Here is a 13,574-nt window from a genome sequence, read left to right as displayed (position 1 = left end):
CAGTGGCGCGATCTTAGCCCACTACAACCTCTGCCTCCCAGGATCAAGCGATCCTCCCGCCTCAGCCCCAGCAAGTAACTGGGACTACAGGAACATGCTACCATGCCTGGCTAATTTTTTGTACTTTTTTTTATAGAAACAGGGTTTCTCCATGTTGCCCAGGCTGGCCTCAAACTCCTGGGCTCAAGCAATCTGCCCACCTTGGCCTTCCAAAGTGCTGGGATTACAGGCATGAGCCACCACACCCCACTTCATTTTATTTTTATTATATTTAATCCTATCTGACATCATCTTGTTTATTTGTTATTTATTGTCTGCCTCCCCTTCCCCATGCCCACTGTATCACAGGCTCCATGAGAGCAAGGACTTTGTCTGTCTTGCCTGCTGCATTCTTCCTGGTTCCTGGATAAGGGATAGGATCTCAACAAATATCCCATGAAGGAAGGATGGCTAGATGGATAACTGGCTGGATGGATAGGTGGGTGGATAGGTGGATGGATAGATCGGGGTGGAGGTGGGGGGTGGGTGGGTGGGTGGATGGGTGGATGGATGGGTAGGTGGATGGGTGGATGGATAGTGGGTGGATCGATGGATGGTAGAAGGGTGAATGGATGATGGACAGATGGATGGATAGATGGGTGGATCGATGGATGTTAGAAGGGTGAATGGATGATGGATGGATGGATGGATGGATGGATGGATGGATGGATGGGCGGGTGAAAAGATGGAAGCATGGATGGATGATGAGTAGATTGATACCCCCTAGAAAGCCAGCCAACAGCCTGGGCCTCAGCCAGTCAACAGAATTGAGGAGACCACATTGCACCCAGAAATCCAAGCAGACATTCACAGGGTAACTGATTATTTATGTGGAGTCCCACAGCTTGCTCACTTTCACAGCCTCATCTGAACAAGACAGCATCTTACACAAATCCCCCTCCCTGGAGTGAGGAGAGAGTGATCAGGTGTCGTTGGTGCTCACAAACTTAACAGTTCTGGGGAACTAACCTGGCACCAGACACACAATCTATAAAACTGCTCCTGCCCAATGTAAAATAATTTAGTTCTGAGGAGTGTACCCAAGGAAATAATCCCAAAGGAAGGAGGGACTGGTGAGGAGTAACTTTATATCTTTATATTATAGAGTAGTGTTTTTAAAAAATCGCAAACACATAGCAACAAGAGAACAGATAAGCAGCTTGTGTGGCACATTATATAGGTACACAATTTTTTATCTGAAATCTTTAGGGCCTAATGTATTTTGGAAATCAAAATGTTCCCAATTTTAGAAAATCTATTTTTGCTTATATTCTATTGTATATCATACCCAGCAGAGTCTAGGGCGATACATCAAAGACACTAGTAGCAGCAGCAAAACAGATACACAGTCATCATAAGTGGGATCAATAAAGAATACAAATAGCCTCATATCTGTTCAGGTGAGGTTAGGAAAAAGAACTTTCTCAGCAGAAGAACTGGTTTATGAAGCTTCACAGATTTCAGAAATGCAGATAAGAGATGTGGACTTAACTAATTTATTTTTATTTTACTTTAAGTTCTGGGCTACATGTGTAGAACGTGCAGGTTTGTTACATAGATATACATGCGTCATGGCGGTTTGCTGCACCTATTCAACCGTCACCTAGGTTTTAAGCCCAGCATGCATTAGGTATTTGTCCTAATGCTTTCCCTCCCCTTGCTCCCCACCCCATGACTGGCCCCAGTGTGTGATGTTCCCCTCCCTGTGTCCATGTGTTCTCATTGTTCATTGACAAGGGCACAATGCAGACTTTTAGGCTGATGAGAAGATTGGCTTTCATTATGTGGTAATACTGAAGAACTTATTTGAAAAAAAAAAAAAAAAGAAAGAGAAATAGCACTGTCGATAGAATATGCTCCATTGACATGTAAAATAGATACTAACAAGGACTGGGAGAGGACCTGGGCCATGGATTCTCAGTCTATGAGGCTGGACGTACGTGGATGAAAGGAAAAGTGAGGGCACAGGTAGGTGTGGGAGGTTGAGGGGTTGCAGGGTAAGACAGACCAGGAAACAGGGCATCAAAACTGCCGCCTTCTTCTTGATATTCCTCCCCACTCAGAGCCTCCCAGAGAATGGGGAAGCCAGCACAGAAAACCAGGACTCTGTTCAGCAATAGAAAAGGGGTTGCAGGGCACCATTCTACGACATGCACTATAAATCACATGCAAAGATTTTTAGTGGGGTCCCTTGCTGGGGGCACCAAAGGAATGTTCTTACCAGGGCCCAAATCCATTCTCAGTGGTTCCAACTCTATTGCAGTGAAGACCTCAGGGAACTCTGTCCACAGGAAACAATGTCAGAGGTCCTGTTGAGTAAGTAGCTGACCTGATTTTTCCTGGTGCAGACAGAGTTGGTGGAAGCAGGTGATGCCAAGGAAGTTGCTCTGATCTGAAATTTGGAAGGCAAGAGCATTCATCCTGGGTCAGCTTTCAAAACATCCTTTCGAAATATGTGGTCTCCCTCTTCAGTCTCTCCTTATCCCAAGTAAATAAAACTCCAGGTGCCATTTTTAAATTTCATTATTTTAATTGACGTATAATAATTGTACCTATTTACAAGGTACATAGTAATGTTTTGATACATATAATGTATAATGAACAGATTAGGGTAATTAGCATATGCATCGACTCAAACATTCATCATTTCTTTGTGTTGGGAACATTCAATATCTTCCTCCTAGTGATTTGAAACTATATGATATGGTTTGCCTCTGTCCCTACCCAAATCTCATCTTAAATTATAGCTCCCATAATTCCCACTTGTTGTGGGAGAGACCCAGTGGGAGATAACTGAATCACGGAGGCAGTTTCACCCATTACGTTCTGTTGATAGTGGATAAGTCTCATGAGATCTGATGACTTTATAAGGGGTTTCCCCTTTCACTTGGTTCTCTTTCTCTCCTGTCTGCTGCCATGTAAGACGTGCCTTTCACCTTCCACCATGATTTTGAGGCCTCCCCAGCCATGATGAACTGTGAGTCCATTAAATCTCTTTCTTTATAAATTACCCAGTCTTGGGTATGTCTTTATCAGCAGCATGAAAACAGAATAATACACTAAATAATATATTATTGTTAACTATTGTCACCCTACAGTGTTATAGGATGCAGAACTTACTCCTTCTATCTCACTGTAATTGTATGTCCTTTAACACAAGCTCTTTCTTTTAGAAATCATCCTGCCAGGTGCTAGAGAGGATGTGGAGAAATAGGAACAGTTTTACACTGTTGGTAGGACTGTAAACTTGTTCAACCATTGTGGAAGTCAATGTGGCGGTTCCTCAGGGATCTAGAACTAGAAATACCATTTGACCCAGCCATCCCATTACTGGGTATATACCCAAAGGATTATAAATCATGCTGCTATAAAGACACATGCACATGTATGTTTATCGCGGCACTAGTCACAATAGCAAAGACTTGGAACCAACCCAAATGTCCAACAATGATAGACTGGATTAAGAAAATGTGGCACATATACACCGTGGAATACTATGCAGCCATAAAAAATGATGAGTTCATGTCCTTTGTAGGCACACGGATGAAACTGGAAACTATCATTCTCAGCAAACTATCACAAGGACAAAAAACCAAATACCGCATGTTCTCACTCATAGGTGGGAATTGAACAATGAGAATACATGGACACAGGAAGGGGAACATCACACACTGGGGACTGTTGTGAGGTGGGGGGAGGGGGGAGGGATAGCATTAGGAGATATACCTAATGCTAAATGATGAGTTAATGGGTGCAGCACACCAACATGGCACATGTATATATACGTAACAAACCTGCACATTGTGCACAAGTACCCTAAAACTTAAAAGTATAATAATAAAATTTAAAAAAAAAAAGAAAGAAATCATCCTGCCAACAGCCAGAAAGTAAACAAGAAAGTGACCCCTGTCAAGGAAAGGAAATTTGAGGCCTGGCTGACATCATCTGGGTTGTACTGTCTGCTATGTCTCTCCCTAGTGTTCCTTCATAAACCATGAAGATATTCTGAAGATTTCTGGATTGAGATGATAAGATTCTGGGGTTCATCAGCTAAGAACATCTCACTGATCTGCAAATACCTCCTTGGACACAAAAGCAGAAAAGAATGACAGCCTTGAGGTTACACACACAAGGGCCCTGGAGCCAGCAGGCCTGAGTGCAAATTCTGGCTGCTTTCCAGTGGCTGTGTGACCTTCGGTGAGTTGCTTCACCCATCTGTGCCTTAGTTTCCCTATCAGTTGAAATGAGGATAACGATAACACCTACATTAAAGAGTTATATGAGAATTTAAAAAGAAAATCCACAAACTGCAATGAATACAATGCTTAGCACGTGTATGAGCCCGAGAGAAGCCAGTTTTCACTGGTAACATGCCAGTGTGTGAAGGCTGAGGCTGGCTCTGTTGCCATTTGAACTTTTTTTTTTTTTTTTTGAGACAGAGTCTTACTCTGTCACCCAGGCTGGAGTGCAGTGGTGCAACCTCAGCTCACTGCAACCTTCATCTCCTGGGTTCAAGTGATTCTCCTGCCTCAGCCTCCAGAGTAGCTGGGATTACAGGCACGCGCCACCACACCCAGCTAATTTTTATATTTTTAGTAGAGACGGGGTTTCACCATGTTGGCCAGGCTGGTCTCGAACTCCTGACCTCAAATGATCCACCCGCCTTGGCCTCCCAGAGTGTTGGGATTACAGGCATGAGCCATCCCACCCGGCCACTGCCATTTGAACTTTTGCTCATGCCCAGGTACTACGTGCTGGGCCCCTTTCTTTGACTCCAAGATGCTCAAACACAGGGAACCTCTGTTGTCTCACAACAACCCTTCAATTTGGGGATCCTTATCCTAATTTATATAGAAGGAAACTGATAATCATGCAAGAGAAATGACTGGCCCAAAACCATACAGGTTCTCAGATAAAGCAGGTATTTTAACCAGGCTTTCTGACTCCAACATGCAGAGTTTTTTCACAGCATGATTGTCCCAAGGAAAAATTTTTAGTGGGCAATCTACACCCTTGGAAAGAAAAGTTTGATTTTCACAGACAAAAGACATTGGAATACACAACTGGTGAGTGAGGTAGATTAGTGAGTAGATCATAGAGAGATTTCACCTTGAAATAGAAAACAGACTTCAGGATCATGGACAAATCTTGTTGCCAAACTGGGCCTCAGTTTTCTCATCTGTAAAACGAGTTTGTTGGACAACATGACCTTGAAGGGACCTTCAGAAAAGGTTTGAACAATAGTGACCCCAGGGATATTATGCTTGTTGCTGGATATGTAAAATATGGCTATATTTTGTTAAAACGATTGGTAACTTCATTGCATAGGCACTCAGGAAACAACAAGGGTAATCATTTTGTTTTATAGGAAAAAAGAACAGGACCCAGAAAGGTATTAAATCTTACTGAGGAAAAACAACTCCCCACCGCCTCCTGCCTCATCCCCAGAGACACTCTCAGAATTTGTTTATTCAAGAGACATAATCAGTAACATCATCTAAAATTAGCAACAGAGCTTCCTCTGTCTCCCACTTCATCATTTCTGAGAGTTTCTATAGATTGGAGAATTGCTTATAATGATGATGGAATAACTCATTTTAAAAATCGCAAACTGAGAAAACAAGTTTACTGCCTTATTTTTGAATAGTTTGGGCCTGAAAGGAAAATTCTGTCTTTCACCAAATAAAAGGAAAAAAGGCAATTATCTGAGATGAAAACCCCCAGCCCATCACTGTGCCTCTGGAAAATGAAATTCATTGATCAGAGTTAAAGTTCCAGGCCTGGGTGGAAAAAAAATAAGGTCCCTGCATCATTAATTTCAATAGAATCTAAAATAATGGGATGCAGCCAGGCAAAAACACAATGAAATCGAATGTTCCCTGTTCCCTAAGTCACCTGCTCCCAGAATGCAGTGAGGTAGAAGACACAGGCACACTTTCAGCTGTCCAGAGACAGGGCTTTCCAAGCTGCTGGGCTTTCTTCTAATTATGATATATTTCAAACATTCAGAAAAATGCATAGAATCTTACAATAAATACTCCCACACTAACCCAGATTTAATCAATGTTGACATTTTGCCATTTTGACAAAATGCCCTCAAAAGCATTCTAAAGCAATAAAATGTCACAGGTATAGTATGCTGGAAATTCCTTCACTGCTCATCCATCCTCCCAGCCCCTTTTCTCCTTCCCCAGAGATAACTAATATTCTGCTGTATAATAATAATCTGATATAGGTATATGCAGTTCCTCCCTGTGGGTTTTTATACACACTATATATGTGTTGTCCTGCTTATCTTTCCCTACTGTGGTAAAACACACATAACATGATAAAATTTAACATTATAGGGTCTCTCTCTGTTACCCAGGCTAGAGTGCAGTGGTATGATCTCAGCTTACTGCAGCCTCAACCTCCAGGGCTCAGGTGATCCTCCCACCTCAGCCTCCTAAGTAGCTGGGACTACAGGCGCATGCCACCATGCTCAGCTAGTTTTTGTAATTTTTGTAGATATGGAGTTTCACCATGTTGCGAAGGCTGGTCTCAAACTCTTGGACTCAAGTGATCAGCCCGCCTCCCAAAGTGATGGGATTTCAGGTGCGAGCCACCACATCCAGCTTTAACCATTCTGAAGTGTATAATTCAGTGACATTTAGTACATACAAAGTATTGTGCAACTATCACCACTATCTAGATCTAGAATATTTTTATCAGCCCAGAAGGAAACCTCATGCCATCTAAGCAATCAATCATTCCTCATTCTCCCCTCTCCCTAGCCCCTGGCAGCCACTAATATAACTTTTGTCCCCATAGATTGGCCTATAATGGACTTTTTTGTTTTTCAGACAAGGTCTTGCTCTGCTGCCCAGGCTGGTGTACAGTGGAATGATTACAGCTCAGTGCGGCCTCAACCTCCTGGGTTCAAGTAATCCTCCCACCTTAGCCTCCCGAGTAGCTGGGACCACAGGCATATGCCACCATGTCCAGCTAATTTTTTTATTTTTTATAGATACAGGACGTCACTTAGCTGCCCAGGCTGCTCTTGAACTCCTGGACTCAAGCAATTCTCCTGACTTGGCCTCCCAAACTGCAACAGGCATGAGCCACTGCACACGGCTGATGAGCTTTTTATACAAGCAGAATCATGAAATATGAGATTTTTGTGACTGACTTTTTTCATGTAGCATAATGCTTTCAAGGTTCATCCATGTTATGGCATGTATCAGTACTTCATTCCTTTTTATGGCCAAATAATATTCCATTTGGTGGATATACTACTTTTTCCAGTCATCGGTTGATGGACATTTAGGTTGCTTCTACTTTTCAGCTATTATGAATAATGCTGCTATGAATATTCATGTGCAAGTTTTTATACAGACAGACATTTTCAGTTCTCTTGGTTACATACCTAGGAGTAGAATCACTTGGTGATATAGTAACTTATGTTTATTTTAACATTTTAAGGAACTGCCAGATGGTTTCCAGCACTTTGCATATTTTCACATGGTATCATCCCACATCTGCTTTTTCCACTCACTGTGTATGTTTTGGAGATTCCTCCAATTTAATACTTTGCTGTCATTTATTTATTTTGATGGTGGTACAGAGTACCATTTGTGTGAACAAACCACCATTTATTCCCTTTCCCCTATTGCTGGATATTTAGATTCTTCCCAGCTTTCCATTACCATAAATAACACTGCCACAAATGGAGTTTCAAAGCTTTCCATCTATGGACCAAATCTGCAGAGCAGGAGAGCCTCACAGACCACAGAGTAGCTACTGCTAGCTGACAACCCTCTCAAAACTCTTGGGATGATGGTTCTAACTTGTGGGTAGAGAGTTGGAGTGCATGAACTAGAGGGATGCATCGGAAGATGCCCGAAACATAACTAAAGCTCTGAGACCACAGCATGGTTGTGTATAATTATTCCCAGTCATTTGCTGCACTCCCTGGAAGAGATCACCGTGGCTGCCCTGCTTGGCTTGGCTGTGATTGGTGTGGCCTCAGGATATAAGCAGTAGTGATGTATGCAACACGGGAGCAGGAGTCTTGGAGCCAACCCTGTCACTCCCCTCTGCCATGCGACAGGAGCAGCACAGCCCAGATGAGAGCTGCATCCTCAGCCTGGATCTCAGAATAAAAAGCCCATGGAGCAGAGCCACAGTTGGCCCACAGGGACCTACAGAGTGAGCCAAACACACTCGCAGTGTTGTAAGTCTCTGAGATACTGGTGTTGCAGCACAACTGAACAAAATCTCATGGGAGAAGTCTCTTCTTTATCATCATCCCAACTGAACTCTCTTCAGTTTTGACCTAGGCATCCACCTGCCTAATTTTTAAACCCTTTTAGGCATCATTCAAACTAACGTGCATTTGCCATAGACTCTGTATATGACCCAGTCCAGAACTTGGGGTTGAAAAGCACAAGGAATATAATAATAGCTAGTGATCCTGAGAGCCTGCTCTGGGCCAGCTGCTGCAACAGGCACTTGTGCAGATAGAGTGTCAGTTGTCCTCGTGTTACCCGAAGGAGGCAGGCATTACAACTCTCCCCAATTCATTGATGAGGAAATTGATGTGCCAAGGTGTTTAATAACAAGACTAAGGTAATACTTGATCTAGCAAGAGGCATTTGGAGGAACTGTACCCAAGCACGCTGACTCCTGTATCCTATAAGTCACACCGTTTTCATCCAGTGAGCTTGCAGACGTGCAGTGAGAAAATGTTCTTCCATCATGCCACCACTGTTTGGGGGGCATAGAGCACATGCCAGCCTCTGTGCCAGGACTGGGCGAAAGTAAGCCAGACAGACACAAATCCTACAATTCTTACCCTGAGGGAGACGAAAAGAGAGGAAGAAAATATTTTCCTCCACTGGTTTTTGTTTTTTATAGTTTCAGGGGGCACATGTACAGGTTACATGGATATATTGTGTAATGGTGAGGTTGGGCTTCTGGTGAACCCATCACCCGAATAGTAAACATTGCATCTAATAGGTAATTTTTCAACCCTCACCCTCCTCCCACCCTTCTGGATTTTGGAGTCACCAGTGTCTATTATTTCCCTCTTTATGTCCATGAGTAACCATTGTTTAGCTCCCACTTATAAGTGAGAACACACGGTATTTGATTTTCTGTTTCTGAGTCATTTCACTTAGGATAATGGCCTCCAGCTCCATCCATGTTGCTGCAGAAGATGTGATTTCATTCTTTTTTATGGCTGTGGGGGGAAAACATTTTTAACTAATTACATCTTATTTATAAGAAATATCTAGAATAGGCAAATCATAGAGACAGAAAGATGAGTGTTTCCCGGGGTATGGAGGATGGGGAGTGACCGTTTAAAGTGTATGGGGTTTCCTTTTGAGATGATGAAAATTTCTGGAACTAGATAGCAGTGATGGTTGAGCAACACTGTGAATGTACCGAACGTCACAAATAGCAAATTTTATGCACGTTTCAGCACAATGAAAATAAAACTAATTGTATAAATGTGTATCGTTGCAATAAGTGCTGTAGGGAAAGTACAGGGAGCTGTCAAGCCACATGACAGGGAGGCCTGCACTCATCTGGGGTATCAGGGATGCTTCTCTGAGGAAGCAACGCCAGCTCCTACCCCACAGGGTTGTGTGTGCCTCCATGCAAGACCCAGCAGAGGTCAGCCCCAGTGTGTTGTGCCCTCGTGCACACTGTAAACTCCCTTCACAGCAGTTACCTCACTGCATCATTGTTTGTTTTTTGTGTAATCCTTTGACAAAGAGTCATTCACCTACTAGAAAGCAGAGTCCTTCATTCTTTCAATCACCAGGTGGTTTTCAAGCTCAGAGTCCATGTAGACATCGCTGTAAATACGACTACAGAGTTGCTGCCCTTGCGAGGCTTTAAGCTTAGTGGGGGCGTGGATAACAAGCAAGCAAACCTGTGTGAGCAGATTGTGACTGACAGGGCAGTGAGCAGGGGAAACAGAACAACAGCCATCGCAGGGAGGCAGGTGTGGACAGGCTCCCCAGGAGGAGCCAGCACACAGAGCAGGGAGAAGGCGGCTCCAGGGGAGGAAACAGCAGGACAAAAACCTGGAGGCTGAAAAGAACTGAGCACACTGGGGTGATTAACAGGAGGCTTCCAAGGAGGCACTGGCATGGGAGGAAAGAAACCCATCAAGGCAGAGGGTGAGTGTCTGTCTTTTCCCTGCTGGAAACCGGGCATCTGGCGCGGTGTATGAAGGAAGGGAGGGATGGGGGACCGAGAAGATCTTCTTGGGAGCCCTGAGATCTGGATTCCAGTCCAACCCTTTTCATTTGCATCATGACCTCAAGCTAATCCAAGCAGACACTCGCTGCAGATTCAATCGTTAACAAGAGGGTCACACTCCTGCCCTCAGCAAACTTACATTCTAATGGGAGGAGGAGGGGAAAGAACAAGGAGAGAATCTTCTAGTTACCAAAATCCACCCACAAAAGGAAGAGATGAGCCATCTAAGTGGACCAGGAGAATGCGCGAGTGTAGAGCCTGGTTTCCAAAACCCCATGGGGGACAATCAAAAGTCATTGGATTAGATTCTGTTAGAAAAGATAATAAACCAACTAGACTAGATCTGGTGTCCGGGAAAGGGAAGGACAAGGAGATGTTGCTGAGCCAAGATTGCCCAGAAGTGTCTCCATCTCCTGACCTCTTGGTACAGTGAGCCCCTCCACGGACGTGAGTGGCCTCCTCGCCCAGCCTGGCATGGGAACCTGATGCCCTCGTCCTCCTAAATGGCCTTAGGAGGGACTCTGCCATTTGCATCTTCTGTGTTTCCTGGATGAGGAAACAGAGGAACAATGAGATTAAGCAGCTTGTCCCTGTTCACATGGCCGGCAAGTGTCAGAGCTGAGACGCAGGCTGGCTCCACCAGGTGTGTCCTCCTGACCACTGTGCCTTGAAAGAAGGAAACTCACTCTCATCACTCCAATTCCAGGGTCACCAAGCAACCCTGTGACAAGTTGGCTACAGGGAGCAAAACATCCTCCCAAAGCCCTGGAGCATTCCAGATCACATGGGGGTACATTCCTCACTGGAAATGGATCCCTTGGCATCAGGTTTATAAATATAGATGCCATGTCTCTGAGTTGCTTGGTGTGATGCCAAGTCCTGGAGCCAGACAGAACTGGGTTCATGTTCTACCTCTAGTCCCTGTAAGCTGTGTTGCCCTGGGCAAGTCAGGGAAGCTCCCTGAACCGCCATGTCCCCATCCATACAGTAAGGTGATGACAGCTCCCACCCACAGACTCTTTGACATCACTGAGCATGTGCTTGGCACAGAGGCAGGACCCAGTCAAGTGCAGCTGTGTTGCTCTCATTCTCAGTGGGCTGGTTCTGAACTCACAGAGCTGGGGGCCGCCAGCCCTTACCATGGCAACAACCCGAACCCTGGCAGCCTCACCAGGGTAATTGCCACTTTGTGGGCACCAGTCTGATTGTCAGCAGGTCATTCTCAGACAACCTCATGGGGCCCATTCCTCTCTCTCTCCTGCCTTGGGCTCCCCTAGGGATCAGAAGCCCATTACCATAATGGCTGTGAGAACCTAATGAGATCAGATATATCATTTGCTAGGGCTGCCATAAAAAAGTACCACAGACTGAGTGGCTTAAACAGAAATGCATTTCCCCACAGTTCTGGAGGCTAGAAGTTCCAGATCAAGGTATCAGTAGAGTTGGTTTCTTCCATGGCCTCTCTCCTTGGCTTATAGATGATCACCTTCTCTTCATGTCTGCACATGGTCTCCCCTCAGTATGTGTCTGTGTCCAGATTTCCTTTTAAGGACCCTAGTCACATTGGATTAGGACCCATCGTGGTGACTTTAACTTGATTACCTCTCTAAAGACTCTATCTCCAAATATAGTCACATTCTGAAATACTGGACAGTAGGACTTCAGCAGATGAATTTGCATCATTATATGCATCAACGCAGGGATCAAGTATATAATGCATCAGACACAGTGCTTGGCATATGGTAAGCACTCAATAAATAGTGCCAAACATGAGGGTGATGACGGAGATGATGACTCTCCAGGCTGGAAGCCACTTCAACAAGATGACAAGCCACGGCTCAATACCCATCAGGAAGTCCCTCTGGGTTAATGGGAAGCCCTGGGATTTGGGAGGCCATGCACCTAGTGAAGTCATGCATACACTGGCTTTGGAGTCAGATCCACATGGGTTCAGAGCCTCAGGGCAGCACTCACCCACTGGAGATCCTAAGCAAATCATCCCACTTAGCTGAGCCTCAACTTTCCTCACGTATTGAGAGAGCCAATGTCAAGGGCCTAGCAGTGAGAGGTGCCCAGGGAATTCCTCTGTCTGTGAGCAGGATAACCAGATTTGAGTCCCAGTTTGGCCACCTTCTAGCGCTGACCTTGGGCAAGTCACTCTCAGTCCCTTCAGCTCTTGATGCGGAACAATAATCCCGCCTCATGGAGTTGTCGTAGGGTGGAAATGAGTCAAGGTATGTGAAAGTGCTTTGTAAACTGCAAAGCGCTCTGCACAGGTCAGCTGTTGCCCTCCTTTGAGGATGCAACCCTGCAGAGGTCTTCGTGAGAGGGCGCTCACACCCACACACCCGATTCCAAGAAAAACACAAGAGGTGGGGCCCCTGTGGTTTCATGACTCACAGAGGCCACTCCTGCAGGTGCTTTTTGACTATGCGACCAGGTTTGCTAACCACTCCCTAAGGCTGCAACTCACACCCCCTCTTCCCTGGTCCAGAAAGGAGGCATGGCAGACCAAAGATGACTTGGAAATTTATTAGAAGGCAGGGGGAGTGGGGTGTCAAGGATGTAAACAAGGAAGTCAGGAGGGCCATGAATTTTCTGGTTGGGGAGAGTGGAGAGGACACCATCTTTGATGAAAGGAAACCCAGGTAGAAAACTTCAGGAGGTGGCTGGAAATGCCAGATAGGAGTCAGGAGAGAAGTAATGAAGATATTACCTACAGTGAGGCTAGAACTGAAGATGTGAAAGCCAGAGTATAGAAAAGAGAAGAAAGAGGGAAGAGTGGGAACAGGAAAGGGGAGAAGGAAGGGCATGGTGTAAGGGGCAAAACCTTGAAGAATGCCAACATCTAGGATTTTAGGGAGAAAAAGGAGACAGAGGATTAGACAGGTAAAGCAGTCTGAGATAAGGGGAAGAGCAGGTCTATCAGGATTGAGAGATGTATTTTTCAGCTCAGGCTGTCATAACAAAATACCATGGGCTGGGTGACCTAAACAACAGACATTTATTTTCTCACAGCTCTGCAAACTAGAAGTCTGAGGCCAGGGTTTCAGCATGGTCGGGTCCTGATGAGGGCTCCCTTCCTGGCTTGCAGATGGCCACCTTCTTGCTGTGTCTTCATATGGTGCGAGGAGAGAGAGAGAAGAGAGAAAGAAGAGAGAGAGAAGAGGAGATAAAGAGAGAGAGAGAGAAGAGAGAGAGGAAAGAGAGAGAGAGAGAGAGAAAGCTCTCTAGTATCTCTTAAGCACCCTAAAATCCTTTTGGATCAGGGCTCTGCCCTTATG

The 13,574-nt window shown here is 44.9% G+C and overlaps 2 annotated features.

The window, feature by feature from the left end:
• Positions 12,114–13,313: an enhancer, noted in NCBI's record as "P300/CBP strongly-dependent group 1 enhancer chr9:117480617-117481816 (GRCh37/hg19 assembly coordinates)". NCBI's record gives its function as "activates an origin of replication core promoter dependent on BRD2, BRD4, P300/CBP, MED14 and CDK7 cofactors, with strong dependence on P300/CBP, by STARR-seq in HCT116 cells {active_cell/tissue: HCT116}" and the evidence as "EXISTENCE:reporter gene assay evidence [ECO:0000049][PMID:35650434]".
• Positions 12,627–12,746: an enhancer, noted in NCBI's record as "active region_28879". NCBI's record gives its function as "activates an Ori minimal core promoter by ATAC-STARR-seq in GM12878 lymphoblastoid cells {active_cell/tissue: GM12878}" and the evidence as "EXISTENCE:reporter gene assay evidence [ECO:0000049][PMID:35858748]".

Source organism: Homo sapiens, chromosome 9 (genome assembly GCF_000001405.40).
Source record: "Homo sapiens chromosome 9, GRCh38.p14 Primary Assembly".
Classification (NCBI taxonomy): Eukaryota; Metazoa; Chordata; class Mammalia; order Primates; family Hominidae; genus Homo; species Homo sapiens.
The sequence above is the reverse complement of the archived record's forward strand: the minus strand, read 5'-3'. Positions and strand labels throughout refer to the sequence as shown.